Here is a 21,784-nt window from a genome sequence, read left to right on the forward strand (position 1 = left end):
CACACCTGTAATCCCAGCTACTAGGGAAGCTGAGGCACAAGGATCGCTTGAACCCAGGAGGCGGAGGTTGCAGTGAACCAAGATTGCACCACTGCACTCCAGCTTGGCGACAGAGCAACACTCCATTAAAAAAAAAAAATATTTAAAAGGCACAATAGTCACACTCAGTAACACGGGGTTTTAAGAACTATCTTGGGGGACTGGGCACGGTGGCTCACGCCTGTAATCCCAGCACTCTGAGAGGCTGAGGTGGGCGAATCACCTGAGGTCAGGAGTTCAAGACCAGCCTGACCAACATGGTGAAACCCCATCTCTACTAAAAAAAAATTAAAAAATTAGCCGGGCGTGGTGGCCCACGCCTGTAGTCCCAGCTACTTGGGAGGGTGAGGCATGAGAATCTCTTGAACCCAGGTAGGGGAAGTTACAGTGAGCGAAGATCGTGCTATTGCATTCCAGCCTGGGCAACAGAGCAACACTCCATCTCAATTAAAAAAAAAAATTATCTTGGGAAGTTCACCACCATTTATCACAATGTTTCTATGAGAAAATACATTCCAAGTTTCCAGTAATCAACATAAAAACAAAGTTTGGAACAAGGCCTATTTGATGATCACCCAAAATCTTACCCAGAATTTATTAGACACAATATTACATTTCCAAGAAATTATGTTATTGCAGAAACTTCTATAAACATGTAACATAAACCCTCATTAATAGTCAAAGCAAATTTGTTTTAAAAACCATACTTATGCCGGGCATGGTGGCTCATGCCTGTAATCCCAGCACTTTGGGAGCCCGAGGCGGGTGAATCACGAGGTCAGGAGTTCAAGACCAGCCTGGCCAACATGGTGAAACCCCGTCTTCACTACAAATACAAAAATTAGCTGGGCATGGTGGCACGTGCCTGTAGTCCCAGCTACTCTGGAGGCTGAGGCAGAAGAATCGCTTGAACCTGGGAGGCGGAGGTTGCAGTGAGCCAAGATCAAGCCACTGTACTCCAGCCTGGGCGACAGAGAGAAACTCCGTCTCAAAAAACAACAACAACAACAACAAAAACAACAAAAAAAAAAAACCAACCATACTTAAATTGCTTTCTAAATCCAACGGACACTAAAACTTCACAAAACCTTCACTGAAAATCAGTATTTGAAGAAAATGCATAAAAAGTGATTGAGCATTAAGGAGAAACAGCTGGTGGATAACGTTTTTTGATTCATAAAGGAACCCTCCAAAACAAAGCAGAAAAAAAAGCTTCAAAAGTTTTTCGGAATTTTTAGAGCAATGACTGGCAACCTATATAAACCTTTCAGAATTCTGAATACTGAAAGCCCACGTATTTATATGTCACATGACATATTAAAAAGAGCTTCATGGCCTAGCTTGGTGGCTCATGCCTGTAATCCCAGCACTTTGGGAGGCTGAGGCGGGCAGATCACCTGAGGTCGGGAGTTCGAGACCAGCCTGACCAACATGGAGAAAACCTGTCTCTACTAAAAACACAAAATTAGCCTGGCATGGTGGCACATGCCTGTTGTCCCAGCTACTCAGGAGGCTGAGGCAGGAGAATTGCTTGAACCCGGGAGGCGGAGGTTGCAGTGAGCTGAGATCGCGCCATTGCACTCCAGCCTGGGCAACAAGAGCGAAACTCTGTCTCAAAAAAAGAAGAGCTTCATAATTTAAACTGTCATTGTACCCAGATTTTTTTTTAAACACAAGTAAATAAACATTGCTAAGCAAGATTTTGCTCAACTGAACAAAAAAATAAAGATATTGGTGAAAGAGCATTGCTTCAAACACAAAATAAACCAAGTATTTTTCAGAGCTTGAGCAACAGATTAATAAAACTAGCCTCAAATAAAAGAATAGAGAATGCTATTTATTTCTCCCTTTCTAGACAAAAGTTGTTAAAATTTTTAAATAACTTTAGGACTAGAAAGATAGACCCCTTGTTGTAAAAACATTACGAATTCAGTATTAATCAGATTTAAGTCATGGCTATATTTTCCTAAATAATCGCAACAAACTTGAGGGGAGAAAAACTTACGGTAATTATCTTTTTGTTGCCACTTTGTTTATATTCACTTTTGTAGAGAATAATGCTTAAACTTTTAGCATAAAGAACTCAAAAAGGATTTCAATAGCATTAAAAAAAAGTGACCAAATGAAAATCAGACTAAGGTCAACCCAAAATTATAGACATTTTTTAATTTAAGAATTGGCTCTGTTTACTTATGCTTTTGTTTTTGTCTAAAGGGGATATGAAAAATGTTAAACTTGTGTGACATATCCTGTAATCCCAGCACTTTGGGAGGCTGAGGTGGGCGGATCACAAGGTCAGGAGTTCAAGACCAGCCTGACCAACATGGTGAAACCCTGTCTCTACTAAAAACACAAAAATTAGCTGGGCATGGTGGTGCATGCCTGTAATCCCAGCTACTCAGGAGGCTGAGGCAGGAGAATCACTTGAACCCGAAGGCGAAGGCTGCAGTGAGCTGAGATCGCATCATTGCACTCCAGCCTGGGTGACAGAGCGAGACACCGGCTCAGGACCAAGATTAAGTGGTGATCCCTGGGCCTGCCTGGCTGCCTCTAAAAACAGAACAAAGGAGCATGGAGTCCTGAAGTTCTATCATGGTAAATGTATTACCAAGTTATTAGTACTTGAATACTAACTCTGTGGCAAGAAAACAGACCAGATATTCCTTGGGAATGAACGCTGAGAAAGCTGAAAGACCAGCTTGAATGGCTATCAAGCTAGACAAGGCAGAAGAGGTATGTGTATAAAATGCTGCATATAATTACACAAAGGCCACAGATTTTCCAAAGCTCATGTTTAAATCCTAACTTAATAACTCCTGATATGCGCAGTTTTCTAAGGGAGAAATGATTCTCTGGGTAACATTATTCCAGGGTCAAGTAAATTTTAACACGGGCCAAAAATATCCATATGCAATAGAGAATCAGCCATTCCTCCTATAAAGCATACACCCAGAAATAATAACAGAATCACAGCCTGATTTAATTTTTTTAATTAAGCAGATGTAAATTCTTTTAAATCTCCCACAGTAACAATGTCCAGTACAAATACACTGATATTTAGATTCTTTTAAAGGAACTCAAAACACTACAGTAAAGTAAGGTAAAGGGTCATGCATGGTCACTGAATTACTTTATTAAAACCTGAAAACAACACTGTAAGGAAGCGTTATTTATTCTCCTAACTTACAGGTGAATTAACCGAGAATTAGAAGTCGAATAACCTGCTCAAATCCACATAACTATGATTCCAACTCCAGAGTTTGTACTTGTAACTAAACAAGCTAAAATGCAATAAAGGCTAACAATTATAATAACAATCAGTGCACAAAGGCAGAAGCTAAGCAACTGAACCAGCCTATCATTCTGTCCTCAAACACCCTATAAGGTAAATATTATTTTAACCTCTAGAAAAACATTTACAATGTTTTTGGCCAAATGCTTGAGAAGCAAAAATCTGGCGCTTTCTTATAAATATTTTTAGCCTCAAAGAAAATGGAGGATTACAAAATGTTATTTTTTAAATCAATGTTATTGAGGTAAAATTTACATTTAATGAAATGTGCCTATTTTAGGCTCAGAGTTTGATGAATTTTGACATACACTCATATTAACAATCACCAAAATGAAAATACAGAACATTTCTATCACCCCCAAAACTTTCCTTGTATAGGAAATTCCCAGCCCCAAATCTAGACAATCAAAGAACCTCTTTCTGTCACTACGGATTAGTTTCGCCTATTCTAGAATTCCACAAAAATAGAATCTTACAGTACCTACACTATGTATCTGTCCTGTCTTCTTTTGCTCAGCATATTGTTTCTGAGATTCATGCATATCATTGGATGAATCACAAGTTTTGCTGTTGAATAGTATGCCAAGTCATGGTTACATTACAGTGTAACCATTTACCTAGTGGTAGATATTTGGGTTGTTTCCAATTTGGGGCTATTATAAAGAAAAATGCTACAAACTTTCATGTATAAGTCTTTGAATGGCCATATATTTTCATTTATCTTAGGTAAATACCACATGGAATTGCTGGGTGGTAAGATAAGTACTACATGCTTAACTTCATAAGAACATCATAAACTCTGACAAGGTGCCTGTACCATTTTATATCCCCAGCAGCAATATATGAGACTTCCAGTTGCCCCACCATGACACTAGGTGTTGTCAGTCTTTTTAAACTTTAGCTATGGTTTTAATTTGCATTTCCCTGATGACTAATCACTTTGAGCATCTTTTCATGTGTTTATTAGCCATTCTTATCTCTATTGTCTATTCAAAAATATTGTCCATTTTTGCCTTATTAATGAGTTGTAGGTATTCCTTTATATATTCTGAAGTCCTCTTTCAAATATATGTATTACGAATGTTTCCTTCTAATATATGTCTTGCTTTTTCATTTTGTAAAAAGTGTCTTTCTAGTACCAGAAGTTTAAATTTTGATGACTTATAATTTCTCAATTTTTTCATGATCCATGTTTAAATTTTGATGACATGTAATTTCTCAATTGTTGCATGATCCGTGCTTTTTGTGTTCTAAGAAATCTTTGTCTATTTCCAAAGTAGCAAAGTATTTTCTTCTGGAAATTTTACTTTAACTTTTACATATATGTCTATGACCCATTTCTGATTTATTTTTGTCTGTGGTGTGAAGTCAAGGTTCAGGGGTTTTTGTTGTTGTTGTTGTTGTTGTTGTTGTTGTTTTTGAGACAGAGTTTCACTCCTGTTGCCAGGCTGGAGTGCAATGGCACAATCTCAGCTCACCACAACCTCTGCCTCCCGGGTTCAAGCAATTCTCCTGCCTCAGCCTCCTGAGTAGCTGGGGTTACAGGCATGCGCCACCATGCCAGGCTAATTTTGTATTTTTAGTAGAGACAGGTTTTCTCCATGTTGGTCAGGCTGGTCTCGAACTCCTGACCTCAGGTAATCCACCTGCCTCAGCCTCCCAAAGTGCTGGGATTACAGGCATGAGCCACCGCGCCCAGCCCAGGTTCTTTTTTTTTTCTGTCAGAAAGGCCAATTATTTTACTATTATTTGTTGGAAAGAGTATCCTTTCCCCATTAGCACCTTCACTGGAATTAATTTTGAAAGAATTAAATTGTTCATATATGGATTGATCTATTTCTTGCCTCCATATTCCAGAGATCAGCAAACTTCTGTAAAGGGCCCAATATAAAATATTTTGGGCTTTGCAGGCCATATGATCTATTACATCTATTCGACTCTGCTGTTGTAACACAAAAGCAGACTATAAATAAGCAAGTATATACAACACATAAGCAAGTGACTGTGGCTGTGTTCCAATGACACTTTACTGACACACACTAGAATTTCAATTTCATCTAAATGTCATGTGTTGTAAAATATCATTTTATTTTTGATGTTTTTCCAACCACTTGCAAATGTAAAAAACATTACTTAGCTTGCAAGCCATACAAAAACAGGCAAGCCAGACGTGACCCATGGGCTATAGTTTGCCAACTGCTGTTTTATTCTGTTCCACTGATCCATATATCTGTCCCTATGTTAATTTTCTGCTGTCTTGATTATTGTAGCTTTATAGCAAATCTTGAAGTCAGGTAGTGTGGGCCAGCCAATTTTGTTCTTTTCAAAATTGCTTTGGCTACTGCAAAAACAATTTGCAGTAGCCAAATTGTTTTTTTGCATCTCCAAATGTCAGCACTACTTTATTAATTTTACCAAAAAAAAAAAAACTCTACTATGATTTTTGTTACAACTGCATTGCATCTTCACATCAACTTTGAGAGAACTGAAATCTTAAATAATAGAGTCTTCTTTAATTTGAGCAGTATTTTATAGCCTTCATTATACAGGTTGTGTACCTATTTTATTAAATTTATCTCTGAATATGTTTTCACGCTATTTAATTCCCCAACTGCTCATTACTATTTACTAGAAATACCACTGATTTTTGTATACTAACCTTGCAACTTGTGGCCTTACTAAATTCACTTATTCAGTAGCTTTTCAGTACTTTTGATTTATTATTTTCTACATACAGAATCATGGTGTCTATGAAGATAGTTTTATATCTCCTATTCCAATATTCCCCCATTTGTTTCTTCTTATTGTTGCACTTGATAGAACTCAAGTATAATGTGGGGTTCTTTGTTGTTTTTTTGAGGTGGGGTCTCACTGCGTTGCCTAGGCTGGAATGCAGTGGCGATCACAGCTCACTGAAGCCTTGACTTCCCAGGCCCAGGCAATCCTCCCACCTCAGTCTCCCAAGTAGCTGGGACTAGAGGCACACGCCAACAGAGATGGGGTTTGGTCATGTTTCCCAGGCTGGCCTCAAACTCCTAAGCTCAAGCAATCTGCCCACCTCGACCTCCCAAAGTGCTGGGATTACAGGCATGAGCCACCGTACCAGTCCTTAAGTATAATGTTGAACAGAAGTGATAACAGTGTGTATTACTGCCTTGTTCCTGATCTTACAAGTATTCAGTCTTTCACTATAAAGCATAATGTTATCTGGAGGTTGTTTGAAGAAGCCCTTTATCAGATTAAGAAAGTTCTCTTCCATTCCTAGTTTGCTGAGTCTATATCATTAGTGAGCGCTGACTTCTGTCAAATGTTTTTTCTGCACCTAATGAGATACTGATATGGTTGTTCTCCTTTATTCTATTAATTGGGTTAATTACTTTGATTACTGAATACTAAATTCATCTTGCTTTCCTAGAATAAACTTCATTTAATCATAATGTTATTTAAATTCGGCTGAATTTAATTTGCTGATATTTTGTTAAGAATTTTTATCTGGCTGGGCATGGTGGCTCATGCCTGTAATCCCAGCACTTTGGGAGGACGAGGTGGGCAGATCACTTGAGGTCTGCAGATCAAGACCAGCCTGGGCAACATGTTGAAACCCTGTCTCTACCAAAAATGCAAAAAATTAGCCAGGTGTGGTGGCATGCGCCTGTAGTCCCAGGTACTCGGGAAATTGAGGCATGAGAATCGCTCGAACCTGGGAAGCAAAAGTTGCAGTGAGCCAAGATCAGGCCACTATACTCCAGCCTGGGCAACAGAGCAAGACTGTCTCAAAAAATAATAATAATAATTTTTATATCTGTGACCATGGGGGATACTGATCTTAAGTTCACTCTTCCTCATCCTTGCTTTGGTAACTTGTTCAAATTTTCTTCTCTGGTTTATGAGAGTTTTAAAAAGACATTTCTAATGCGTCTTTGTTATGGGTTTAGGTTAATTTCTCCCAAATAAAAAAAAATCCTAATTTAACATTAATGTTAATAATTTAACATTATTTTTAACAAAATATTTAAAAAGTTACCTTGCTGCCTATCTTTCAGTTCTACATCTATTCTATAAAGTGATATCTACATGAAGTAGAATCAGTTTAAGAGTTCTGACACACATTCCATGTGTAAAGCATATGAGAAAAGAGAAAAGAATATATTCCCCAAACCAAGGGATGTAGTATACAAAAGGCAAAGTTCTATATCTATTGAAACAAATTGGGCTTTTCACCACTTTATGCTTACTTCATTTATCCAAGAGAATTTAATGTTGTATACTTGGATGACTTTTTCCTATTGGGTTGAACATATGAAACTGACATATTTGTAGGTCAAAGAAACGTCAAATATTGGCAGTTTCATACGGTTTAACCTCTAATTTAATGGCCTTGGAATAGTAACCAAAGTGAGCTCACCCAGTCTGTATGTTGTTTGATCAGTATACAAGCACCATCTGGTGGCAGAAACCAAAACTGTAGGTTTGTAACTGTTCATATCACTGCTGGTACAAATACAGTCATCCCTAGGTTATCTGTGGGGAATTGTTTCCAGGACCTTCACCCTTACCCCCTACAGATACCAAAATCCATGGCTGCTCAAGCCCCTGATATAAAATGCTCAAGTCCCTGATATAAAATATTAATATTTTAATATTTGCATATAACCTATGCACATCCTCCCATATACATTAAGTCATCTCTAGATTACTTATAATATCTAATACAATGTAAATGCTATGAAAATAGTAGTTACACTGCGTTGTTTAGGAAATAATGACAAGAAAAAAATGTCTGTACATGTTCAATACAGATGCAACCACCCTTTTTTTCCTGAATATTTTCAATCCACAATTGGCTGGATCCATGAATGCTGAGCCCATGGATACAGAACCCAGGGATACGAGGGGCCAACTGAATATTCAACATCAACTGTTGTACTTTCCAATATGCTTTTTAAGAGGGTGTTACAAATGAGTGAAAAATCTTATATGCAAAGTTTGAACAACCTCAGAATAAATAGCACACCAACATCACAATACTTAGCAACAAATCATCAGCCTATATAACATAAACTGAAATGTAATAAACAAGCTGTTTTCATAAATCAGAATCTTGGCTATTATTAATTTTACTGATAATTAACATAATGCAATCAAGTCAATTTGGATGTTTCAAAAAACTTCTTTCGCCCTATCAAATTTCCACTGATAGCCATCACTATCTGTAAAATGATTTCCGTGTCTCACAGATTTATTTCACAGGGGTACAATGAAAAACCAAGAAGCCTTAAGTAAGTGTCTAATTCTGGCCATAGAAACAAGTAACATTCAGGCAAAATAGTCCAAATTGTTTTCTTCTTGTTTAACTTGCTATGACTCAACATATATTAAAAGAAAATAACTTGACCAACCTAGCTATAAGAGATTGGGCCAAGAACTGGATACATTAGCTAAAGGTAACCTTGACATAAAATATACTAAACACATCTAATGAGAATGTAGGCCATAAACTTGTTCCAAACTGAGTGTTAACAAATAAACAAACCCTTTGGGGAAGAAAGGATACACCTTCAATGAACAAAGAGCTGATAGGTCACTCAAACTTGGGTTGAATCCTAAACTGCCATTTTCTTAAGATATATTACACAAACCTATTCTGAAAGCTCTAGATGTTATACTACCTCTTGCCACGTCTACTTCCAACAAGTCTTTAAAGTCAAAGATAATCTTTGCTACCCTTCATTGTGGCCATAAAGAGTGATAAAATGACTCCTAAATACTTCGTAGGCAATTTAAATGCAACATAGTGCAAATTAAACTCTTCATCTTTCCAAAAACCTGCTCCAACTACTCTTGTGGTGAACAGTATTACTAGCCATCCAAATATCTGAAGTTATCCTTAATACCCCAAATGCAATCAAGTCTACCTTCTAAATATCTATAGACACTGTCCCCTCCTCTCCATCTGCACTATTCCAGGCCTGCATCACATTATGCCTGAATTACAACAACATTGTCGTAATTCTTTATCCCTTCAAGTTTTAGGAATATTGCCAAAGCAATATTCCTAAAACATATATCCAATTATTTTATCCCTCAGCTTAAAATCCTTCAATGACTCCCAATCACCTTCAGAATAAAATCCAAACCTCGTGGCATGGACAATTCAGGACATTCAAATCGGGGCCCTGCCTAGACTTCACTCTTCTCATTCCAGACTTACCGAACTGTTTCTAAGTCCATGAATGAACTAAACTTCTCAGGATTCCTAGCCTTTGTTGCCAAAATCTGTATTACTTTTCCTTGCCCTCCTCACCTGGCTAAATCCTAGTTAACCTTGAAGATTCAGTTCATCCCTCCTGGAAGGCTTCTTTGGTGCCCCAATCTGGATGGGGTGCTTAGTTCCTTCCTAATGTTTCCATAGCACCATCGGGGCACATCTATCATTCTGTTCTTTCGTTTTCCTCTTCTACTAAACTTAAGTCTATTAGACTGCCTGTCTTTCCTCAAAGTCTCTACTCAAACACAACATGTGGCAATGAGTAGGCATGCAATAAATGTCTGCTGAATGAAGATGACCTCACGAAAGTCCTTCATTTGCTATTACTATCTCTGTTTTGCAAATGAGGAAATTAATGGAGGTCCAGAGCCTTGTGCAAGATCACTTAACTAAAAGCATCAGAACTAGGAACTGAACCAAATGTTCTGACTGTAATGGAAATAATTTTCTCTAAAAATCTTTGCTTTTGAGGAACCGCTCCATAAAATAATTGTACCCTGCGGAGTAGTTTGGATGGGGCTAACCTGTTTCTCCAGGTTGGACATATAACCCAGGCTTGGCTAAAGTAAAGTATGTCCCTACCCCCAACCAAGTTTGAATGATTAATTCCAGGATGGACAGTTTACTCCAAGTGTTTGTGGGGACTTTTCTAATGACTATCAAAAAAAAAACTTCACCTTCTTCACTACAAGTCTACAGACTATACAGTGTATGAAGTATAGCAAATGGGAATTGGCTTATTTGAAAACAAAGTAGAGAAAAAAAGAAACAAGAGCTAGAAAGAGAGAAATAGAAAATGAGGAAGAACAACACTAAAGCCCTACATCCAACTATGCCTGTACATCTCCCCAAGAGATATCCCAGTTACATAGCTCAAAAATTCCCATTTGCACATAACCTAGTTTGAGTTTTGGCCCCATGGAAATCTACACCAGCAGATCAAGGGGCCATTTGGTCTGCTGGTCTGCCATTTTGGCCATTTGCTAAGCAATAATATTTTTTTATCTGTGAATATACAAAATTGAAAAACTGTCTAAATTCAGCCATTCTATTTCTCTAATGTACATAATTTTTATAAGAAAGATGGGAGAACAAAAGCACGAAGTGTTCTCCAAGCTTTACCTTGTACTTTGTCAAATGAATTTTTATATGCTTTCTGCTTCATAATATATCTGTTAGTGAAAAGTGCCTCAAATGATAAAGAAAAATACATAACCGGATGTAATTATTGTCAAACATCTTGGGCATAATAAAAGGAGACAGGTACTTCAGAATCCAAGTTGTATCTACAGAGTTTGCTCATGGATAAATGTTTTTTTCTCCACTCATCATTAAAAAAGAAGAAAAATTCAGTTCTTCTTAGGCCTTTGAATAAGTTCAAGTGGAGAAACATCATCAGTAGAGGGTGGTAAAACAGCATAGGTAATACCTAATTTTGCTTAATATTACTTTAAGTAGAAAATAAAAGGACCTTTTCAAAAATCCCTCTAAATGATACCTGTTTCTTGGACTTCACCTTTCATTCCCTGCCTTAAGAAGCTAATGATTAATCTGGGTTCTGACAAGGAAAAGACATCTCCTTGGATCTTTGGCTCCAGAGTCCCTGTAATCCATTCAAGTGTTGCCATCTATAAATTAAAATAAATATGAGAAATCATGGTTGTAACAGCCTACTGAGTAATGGTTAGGTCTGCGCTTCTGTGAGCAGAAAGAGCTTTTCAGTTGAAACATGGCTTGGTAGCTTACTAGTACTTTCCGATATTCTTTTTACCTTTTTGTGATCTGCAGAATATCATAAAATAAAGACACTCCAAAAAAGGAAAAGTCCATATTATCTATTCATGGAATGGCCTAAGGCACATCCTTTATTTATGACTTTGGAGAAATCATAAATAAAATTATTGTACCCCTCACAACAACCATAAGAATTAGATCTTGGAACTAGAAACTGCCAACAAAGAAAAAATGCCGACATTCTTAACAGAAAATTTAGAAAAGAAAAAAAGAAAATCAAAATCACATGATCCCTGTCTAATTTCACATACTAACTCCTCTCTCCCTTGGTTCACTCTGATCAAGCCACATTGGCCTCTTGAGGCCAATGCCAGGCACACTTCTACTGCGGGGAGTACTTGCTATTTCTTGAGCCTGGAATTCTCTCTCTCTCTCTCTCTCTCTCTCTCTCTCTCAACATTCACACTGCTTTTTCTCTCTCTTCCTTTGAGGTCTTTATCAAAAGCAACCTTCTCAGTGACTAACCACTTCTTATTGACTGACTACCTCCCCTACAAGAACATGAGCTCCATAAGGACAGGGATTAGTGTCTGACTTTTCATTGCTTTAGCACCAGACTTTTTAAAAGTAATAAATTTAGAAGTAATAAAAGTAGTTTATTTCCATTTAAAAGTAATAAATTCACTAGTCAGAACTGTAGCAAAATTTCAATAAAGGACCACAGATACCAAAATAAAACAAATATAAAGATGTAATACTCTCATAAATCTATTTACTAGAGTACATTAGCAATAAAATTAGTATATAATAGGCTAGGTGTTCCTTACTCAGGTGACTAAAGATATCTACTGTGTTGAAGTGGGCAACTAGCTTTATTTATTTACATTGGGGAACGTCAGATTAAACATAAAGGCAATGCGTATATTATACAGAGAAAGAGAAAATAAAACAACTACAAGAGAAATGTGTTGTCCCTTGTGCCTCCTATGCGGTGTGGACACCAAGCTGAGGGCTGGGAAGCCTGCCATTGTATGCATCACAATTAGAAGCAGAGATGTTACAGGAGAGAATGAAATATACCAAGGAAGCCAAGAAAAGCTGAGGGTTTAGGCCCATTAGCAAGGGGAAGATAGTAGATACACTCTGGAAGCATTACCTAAGGGAGAAAAAGACGGACTAGATGCCACCAACTGCAAGTTTCCACACCTCGTGGACAAGGCACACGACCACAAAGAAAAGAGGAACTAAAGGACAACACAAGATGCCTCTACAGAGGTGAGGTATATAGATGCCTCTCCCTTCCTAGCATAGAGAAAGCTCCCCCAGGCATACCTGAGAGGAAAAGGGAAGGGCAGAAGTCTAATACAGTGTGCAAATTCTTCTTAGAGAACCTAAACAATAATATTTAAAGGAACTATTTACAATTGAATAGAACTAAGTTTTAAATGGATACAATTAAAGATAATTTTTCCCCTAGCAAGCAAGAAACCAAAAAGTATCAGATTATTTATGGACTAAATAAATATCTTCCCTACACATCTAAGTTATGGTATCAGTAAATACATAAAACCATAACAAAAGCACCAGCAAATATCTGATCAAATATAGGAAAGAATTTCTCAGGCATAAAAGAAGTGAGAGAAATAAAGAAAAATCAATAGATAAGACCACATAAAATTTTAAAACTACAGGATATTAAAAACAAATACACAATTAAAAGCCAAATTTTTTAAAGCAGGAAAATTACAACAAACAAAATAGACTGAAGGTTAACATCCTCAACACATAAACATTTGAAAACTGGTGAAGCAATGGAATAAAAATCAGCAAATTAAAATAGACAAATCAAAAAGGATAACAAATATCTAAAAAAAAAACTGTTCAGCCTCACTAGTAATCAATAAAATTGAATTTTAAAAACTACTACTTGATGGCCACGTGAGGTGGCTCATGTCTGCAATCCTAACACTTTGAGAGGCTGAGAGAGGCGGATAACTTGAGGTCAGGAGTTTGAGATCAGCCTTGCTAACATGGTAAAACCCTGTTTCTACTAAAAATACAAAAATTAGCCGGAAATCGCTTGAACCCAGGAGGCGGAGGGTGCAGTGAGCTGAGACCACACCATGGCACTCCAACCTGGGTGACAGAGTGAGACTTCATCTAAAAAACAAACAAACAAACAAAAAAAAACAAAAAAAACACTACTTTTTAACTACCAAAGAAGACAAAAACCTTTTTAACTCAGTGTTCTCAGAATAGAATAAGCATTCTCATATACTGTAAGAAATTAGTACAAACTTTAGTGCAATTGGGCAATGCTTTATTCTTTTTAAAGAATATTCCCCTTATAGTAATATAAGGAAGGAAATAATCAGTGATGTGAACAAAGATTTACATAGTGATTATTTACTGCAGCAATCTTAACAAAAAAGAGGGCATAAACAACCTAGATAAAAAAATAGACATACATTTATATACCTTATGAAGCCATATGAAGCATTATGTAGCCATCAAAATCATTTTGTGCCAGGCACAGGGGCTAACGCCTGTAATCCCAGCACTTTGGGAGGCCGAGGCGGACAGATCACTTAAGGTCAGAAGTTCAAGACCCCCAGCCTGGCCAACATAGTGAAACCCCATCTCTACTAAAATACAAAAATTAGCCAGGCATGGTGGCAGGTGCCTGTAATCCCAGCTACTCAGGAGGCTGACACACAAGAATCACTTGAACCCGGGAGGCTGTGGGTGCAGTGAGACAAGATCACACCACTGTACTCCAGCCTGGGTGACAGAGTGAGACTGCGTCTCAAAAAAAAAGAAAGAAAAGAAAAAAAAATTCTTAAATATATGACAAATGGCCACTATATTAAGTGAAAAGAGAGTGCTTGTTTTGCATATACAAGATACACAAATTATGATATATCCATACAAAGTACACTAACCAGCAATAAAAAAGGGCAAAACCCAGATATAAGCAACATGGATGAATCCCCAAACAAGAAAATCATTATACAAAGTAAAAGAAGCCAGATGCACATAAATACTGTATGAGTCTAGATATAAAAAGTTCAACAACAGGCAAAAACTAGTCTATGATAATAAAATAGTGATTATTTCTGGGAGAAGGATGTGTCAAAGACAAAGAGGTCTGAGGAAACTCTCAGAGGTGATTGGGAACATTCTGTATCTCGATCTGAGTGGTGATCACGTGAGGCTATACGTATGTAAAAAGTCATCAAATAAAGTATAAATACATATATACATACATAAAATAAAGTCATCAAGAGGTATACTTAAGATTTGTACATTTTACTGTATGTCTATCATACCTTCATAAAGTACTACAAAAACTGCATATAAAGGACAACTTCAACTTGGTTAAATATATTTAAATGCAAAGAAAAAAAGAATGTAAAGTACATGAAAATATAAAAGGTGGCAAATTCTGGGATTACATTATTTACATTTTTTCTTTTTTCCCTATAAATTACAAACATTCATGTTCACTAATGTATTTAGACAAATCAAGAAAAAAACTGAGCTCTGCTTGGTAAATGAATGAGAAAGTCAACACTATAAACTGTGAAATGACTTTAAGACTTGGTCTTCCCTGCAACAAATACAGGGCCCTCATGACACAATAAAAACTAGTTCCTTCAGATCTTTTACGTTTGTGGGGTAGGGGAAAAAAAAAAAAAACTAGTTCCTGAAAACTGGGTTTCTTTAAGTTATTAATTTAAATATTCCTTGTGAACCTGCTTTATCTAAATTCCATGCACAATGCCCAAGGTCAATTAGATTTACAATGAAAATACTCTTTTGAGTGTGAGAAACTTTTATAACATGGATAAAATAATAATTAAGAACAAAACCAAAAAAGACATACAAACCTCTGATTGTACATGCCCCGAAAGTTGTAATTAGCTCTATAATTTGGGAATGGCTTTGGATCTAATGGCCTGTAGATGGCAGGCTCTCCCCTTTTCATAGCAAGCCCATTCAGTTCCACAGTTGGAGTTATACTGCCTGTTTAAAAAAAAAACATTAAAGGCACACAAGTGAAATATCTTCACAATTAAACATGCAAGCTATATTTATACAACGCTTAAATACCATGGAAGAAGGTAAGAATGGATGGACCACCTGTATGATTTTCTAAGGAACTGCGAAAACAAAGTAAAAAACCAAGAAAATAGTTCCTAATAAAATCTTGGGATTTTGCAATGTTTTCTGTACATTAATGACAAAAAATCTGAGTGTGCAATCATTACTATCAAAACATAGTAAACAGATGATTCTTAGATTGCTAACCGTGAATATTATTTTTTAAAGTACTGCATTTCATCATTACTTACCCCAGAAAGCTTGCATGTATTTAATCATTAAAAACATCATCTGTGAATATTTTTATTTATACTTTGGTAATTAAATAACTAAGCATTGGCAAGAAAGTCATCAGTGGTTCTTGGACTTATCTAATGAAAAAAGTTTTTTGAATTTTTTCTATAACCAACAAAACAGAGTAAATATAAGCAATGTTTCCTGAAACTAAAATGTCATCGAATATATTCCTAGCAAATATTAAAGATACGTACAAGTAGCATTATCGATAAAAACAAAAGACTGAAAACAACCTAAACAACCATCAATGCAGCATCAGTTATATAAATGTCCATAGCATAAAACACTGAACAGCTATAAAAGGAGGAAGACTACTACACACCTTGCTTCTTTTATTTTACTTAATATACCTCGGAGGTTATACCTTAGCAGTGTAGGGTATAATGTTAAACGAAAAAAAGCAAGGTACCAAATAGTGTGTGCTTTATATTATCTTTTGTCTAAGAAAGGTGAAAATGAAAATATAAATATATATTTGCTTACTTTTTTTAAAGAATAAACCCAAAACTAAAAAAAAAAAAAAAAAACTTACTTAGGAATGGAAGCTGTATGTCTCTGAATGTACACTGTTTCATAGATTTTATTTTGAAAACATGAATTTTTTGCATAATTACAGAAATCAAAATTTCATCCAAAAGGGGTGGGGGAGCAATCTCTAAAATCGAAAGAAAACTGGAACTAAATCTATCTACAGTGACTTAACCACAAAGAGAATTATTTCAAAAGACTTAAAAAACTGTAAAATAGCCATGAGATCCTAAAGAGAAAAAAAAATCTTAAATTGTTTTCAGTAATCACATTGTTAGTAACAAGTAATATGCTTTTACTTAAGTCAAACAAAATTAAATAAAAATGGAGACAAAGTAATCTCTATAAAGAAAACAAAGCAATTAAAACCTAATTGATTGGTGGCCCTAATCATACGAAGAACAGTTATTTCAAATAACTTTAAAATATAGTCAAATAACCACATATTCTAAAGATTTTTTTAAACCCTGCAAATAAATCATAAACTATTTTTAGTAATCATGCTGTTAGTAATATTGGCGTCCCTGTCTCACTGCAATTGCTATTATAAAATTATTTTATATATATATAAAATATACATAAAATAGACTAAAGAATTAATGTCAGAAACAAAGGTTTTTAGCATAAAGAGACACAAATATAAAATCAAACACACTACCTAAAACCCTGTAGTTTTAAATCCTAACTGAAATCCTAACTGAAAATATAGTCTTAAATCCTAACTGAAAATATCACAATGAATTCATGATGTATTTTCTCTTAAGGAAAAAAAAAAGTACTAGGTATTTCCTAGCTTAAGTATCCACTTAAGAGGCCTAAAAGCCATAACCCAACAACTGCAAAATGCACATTGTATTCATCAACACATGGAACATATTCCAAGACAGACCACATAAGCCACAAAACAAGTCACAGTACATTTAAGAAAATCAAAATTATATCAACTACTCTCTCAGACCACAGTGGCATAAAATTGGACATCAACTGCAAAAGGAACACTCAAAAAGCATGCAAATACATGGAAATTAAATAACCTGCTCCTGAATGATTGTTGGGTCAACGATGAAATCAAAATGGAAATTTAAGAATTTGAACTGAATGATAATAGTGACACAACTTATCAAAACCTCTGGGATACAGAAAAAGTGGTGCTAAGAGCAAAGTTTACAGCACTGAATGCCTGCATGAAAAAGTCTGAAAGAGCACAAATAAGACATACATGTATACACACACACACACACACACACACACACACACAGGCTCAAAATGTCTCCTCAGAAAATACTTATTACTTACTATTCAACAACAAAACATACGGATTAATTAACTTTACAGCAAAGAAGCCTGGCATACTCCTCACCGCATGACAAAAGTCGTCACTGATGGGACAAGTCAATCTCAGGCGTCTCCTCATAGAAAGCACTAAGGTAAGTCCAAGTCATTTTTCTGGTATTCATGCTAAAATGCATAAATCATGAGGAAACACCAGACAAACTCAATTGAGGGGCATTCTAAAAACTCTGTGGTCCCATACTCTTCATAAATATTATGGTCATAAAAGGTAAGAAAGACTGAGGAACTGTTTGTTACAGATTGAAGTGGAATGAAGAGAAATGTTAAGTACATGTAACACATGGTCTTGATTAGCTCCTGGAGCTGTAAAGGTTTGGGATGATTAGTGAAATCTGAAATGGAGTCTGTGGATTAAATGGTAATATGGATCAAAGTTAACTTCCCGATAGAACGGTGTCCGTGTCCTTAAGAAATATACATTGAAATATTAAGGGGTAATGGGACATCATGTCTACAACTTATTCCCAGATGGTTCAGAAATGCTATCAATGGGGAATAAAGGTGAAGGATACATGGGAAGTCTATGTACTATTTCCACAAATTGTATATAAATCTGAAATTACTTCCATAGTTTAAAAAAAAATAAAAGGGAGAAAGCAAAACAGTTCTATAATATATTCCCAATTACTAACAGATCAACCATGCTGCAAATGAACTTAACTCCTCATTAGGATATAACTTCTTTTTAAGACCCATCTACACACTGTGGAGTCAAGACTGGATCTTTCCTCCACAGACCTATTACTTCTCAATACTGAGTTACAGTCACCAGGTTTATAACAAAGGTGCCACTACACTGCAGAGGGGAATGGACTATCTTTTCAATAAATGGTGCTGGATTAAATGAATGTCCATATATTTTTTAAATGAAGAAAAATATTGAACTCTACCTCACATCATACATTAAACTCGATTCCTGACAGACTGTAGATCTAAACTGTAAAGATCTAATAATACTGCTTCTAAAACTAACATGAGGTTATCTTCACAAACTTGTAAGAGACACAGGTGTATTAAATGGCACACCAAAAAAGCGCTAACTATAAAGGAAAAGACTAATAAATTAGCTTCCACTAAACAAGAATTTTGTTTTTGTTTTGTTTTGTTTTTTGTTTTTGAGACGGAGTCTCGCTCTCACCCAGGCTAGAGTGCAGTGGTGCAATCTCAGCTCATTGCAACCTCCGCCTCCCAGGTTCAAGCGATTCTCCTGCTTCAGCCTCCTGAGTAGCTGGGATTACAGGTGCACACCATCACGCCCAGCTAATTTTTGTATTTTTAGTAAAGTTGGGGTTTCACCATGTTGGCCAGGCTGGTCTCAAACTCCTGACCTCAAGTGATCCACCCACCTTGGCCTCCCAAAGTGCTGGGATTACAGGTGTGAGCTACCGTACCTGGTCTCATTGAAAAGAATTTCTATTCATCAAAATGTACCCTTAGGAGTATAGAAAGATATTTGCAATATACATATCTGATAAATTATATGAATCCAGAATATGTAAGAACCCTGTAAGCCAGTAAAAAGTAGAAAAAATTTTAAAACAGACAATGCAGATTTTTAAGTGGGAAAAACATTCCAACCAGCACTTTACAACAGAGCCTAGCCTAATGCCAACAGGCATATGGAAAGATGCTCACCTGCATTTGTTATTAGAGAAATGCAAATTAAAAACACAATGAATTACTATTATACCTCTCAGCATAATAGCTAAAATTTTGAAAGCTGGAGATATCAAATGTTGATGAGGATGTGGACAGCTCTCATACCGCTGGTGGGAAGGTAAACTGACATTCTTTGACATTATGTATTAATACCAAATACATTCATAACTATGACCCAACAGTTCCAATCCTAGATATATTCCCAAGAGAAATGTATGCATTTTAAGAATACTGTTCACAGCAGTATTATTTCTAATAGCTCAAAACTGGAAACAATTCAAATACGTATAATAGTACAATGAATAATATGTAAATTATGTATACTTATGCAATAGAATACTACATAGCAATGAAATACTATACCATTAAATGCAACATAGATGACTCTCACACACAATATTGAGAAAAATGAGCTATCACAAGAGTCTACTGTCTGATTCCAACAAGAAGGCACAACTAATCTGGTAGAAATCAGAATATTGGTTTCCTTTAGAGTTGTTTAACCAACTGAAGTGGGCATGAGGGAAGCTTCCATAGCACTAGTAAAACATGTGGTGAAGTGTTCACAGCATAAAAATTCATCAAGCTCTATAACTGTAATGTGCCCTTGTCTGTATACAGTATTAGACTTTATTTTAAAAGTTTACACCAAATAATCGATTCATTCTCTCAGCTTACTATAACACTCAACCATGGAAATTCTTATCTCCACTGGGGCCTTTCAGACACTCTCCTGTTTCCTTCCTCTGACTCTTGCTGGTTTACTTCCTGCTATAATCCTCTAAATATGGACTTGACCCAGAGCTCAGCACACAATTAACTGCTCTTGCTTTACATTATATGCCTTTGCTTTACATTATATGCCTTAGACAGCTTGTTCTGTTCCATTCCAAATGCCACTCTCAACACTCCTGCAGAGCGGGAGGCATACAGTACTCAATGCACGTGAGTCTCTTTCTTTCTTCACCCATAAACTATGACAATGGTTTTTTAGTGTCTCCCACCTTCCCTTTACATGTCAAACTGAGCTTCCTAAAATACTCCTTTAAATGCATCATGCACTGCTCATGAATATTAATTCCTCCCAGCTACGTATAAAACTTAATCTCGTAAAGCTGGCATTCAAGTCGTCCCAATTCACTCACTAACTACATCTCCAGTCTTACCTCCTACTAGTCATTTACCTGCTCTAATTAAAAACCATCTATAAAATTTTTTTTTTACCAAATCCATTGTCCAGATTCCTACTTCAAAGCCTTTCCTCATAGTATTCCCTCTGGCTAAAATATTCTTTCCTCTCATCTATAACTGCCTACTTTTCGGTCAAGGCCTGTATCTTACTTCAACTACTTCAGTCCATGTTTATCATTACCTGTAATACTGATGGCTGTTATTGTCTACTTGGCACTTAATCTTTACCATCAAATTACGTGTTCATATATAAGACTGTAAGACACTCACTGAAAGGGACAATGTTTTATTTCTCTTAGATATGTAAAAAGCAAGTGTTAAATATATCATGGTGGTGGTATGCTACTAATGATCAACCAGTATTCTGAAGAGGCTTTTAAAAATTAAAGAAATGGACAATCTTTTAGGAACTTCAAAATGAAGAGAATAAGTTTTTTTTCTATTGTAATAATATTTTGGCTTATTTAAGCTTAATAAATACTGCAATCAGTTGAACAGAAGCAGAGACTTGCAATCAGAAAGCCATGGATTCTGCAGAGTAGTCCTTGAAAGAGCAGAGAATGTCAACCTAGCACAGACCACATGAGAATGAAACAAGTGTCTATGTGATTTGATTATGAATATAACCAAGTAGAGAATGATTAAATACATTTTAGAGTTATTGTTGACAGGCACAAAATCTTTCTTAACCTCCATAACAAAAATATCTAAGGCGAAATTAATATTGACTAGAAGGTAACCACTTGAATTAATCAGTTAACAAATGAATGAGTAAATGGATATATGGCTGGTACTAAAGTTATAGTAATTCCATTAACCTAATGTTATCAATTAATACACTATGTCCAAAATACAGGTTTGCCTTTCCCAATAGATAACGGGACATATAGATTCACTGAGGTCACCCGGAGAAAATGATGGATATCAGGCAGGACTAACTTGAGGCTCCCACTCAGGACAAAACAGCATGTGGAGACTCACAGTGTAAACTCTGCTCCAAGAACCACCACAAGAACATACCAGGAAAACTGAAAGAATTCACAGACCCTTTGAAAGAAGCAGCTTGCCGCTGCAAACTCCATGAGACAGCCAAAACACCGTGAGTGCCCAAAGTGTGAGAGGGGGAAAGTCTGCCTCCAAACACACATCCTCACTGGGGAACCTGAAAATCCAGATCACAGAAGAATTTAACCTTACCTAGGACTGAAACAAATTTAGAGAGCTGAGCGAAATATAAAAGTAGAAGAAGCAGGCCAGGAATGGTGGGTCATGCCTGTAATCCCAACACTTTGGGAGGCCAAGGTGAGTGGATCGCTTGA

General features: G+C 36.3%; 1 protein-coding gene across 7 annotated transcripts in view, besides 2 other annotated features; it reads right to left on the reverse strand.

The window, feature by feature from the left end:
* Positions 1–21,784, reverse strand: part of STAU2 (staufen double-stranded RNA binding protein 2) — a 327,112-nt gene that overhangs the window by 237,515 nt on the left and 67,813 nt on the right. For 6 of the 7 annotated variants that reach the window (NM_001164382.2, NM_001164381.2, NM_001164380.2 and 3 more), the window contains one exon: positions 15,224–15,359. The exons of the other annotated variant lie outside the window; for it this stretch is intronic. In NM_001164382.2, the coding sequence (NP_001157854.1) occupies positions 15,224–15,321 (98 nt within the window). In that variant the 5' untranslated portion in view covers positions 15,322–15,359. The remainder of the gene's footprint in view (positions 1–15,223; positions 15,360–21,784) is intronic. 7 annotated transcript variants of the gene reach the window in all.
* Positions 7,591–7,885: a silencer, noted in NCBI's record as "tiled region #7553; K562 Repressive DNase unmatched - State 12:CtcfO". NCBI's record gives its function as "represses a minimal TATA promoter and a strong SV40 promoter by Sharpr-MPRA in K562 cells {active_cell/tissue: K562}" and the evidence as "EXISTENCE:reporter gene assay evidence [ECO:0000049][PMID:27701403]".
* Positions 13,254–13,443: a silencer, noted in NCBI's record as "fragment chr8:74583372-74583561 (GRCh37/hg19 assembly coordinates)". NCBI's record gives its function as "represses an EF-1alpha promoter that drives an FKBP-Casp9 reporter gene in an ReSE screen in HepG2 liver carcinoma cells {active_cell/tissue: HepG2}" and the evidence as "EXISTENCE:reporter gene assay evidence [ECO:0000049][PMID:32094911]".

The sequence above is a fragment of the Homo sapiens genome, chromosome 8 (genome assembly GCF_000001405.40).
Source record: "Homo sapiens chromosome 8, GRCh38.p14 Primary Assembly".
Taxonomy (NCBI): Eukaryota; Metazoa; Chordata; class Mammalia; order Primates; family Hominidae; genus Homo; species Homo sapiens.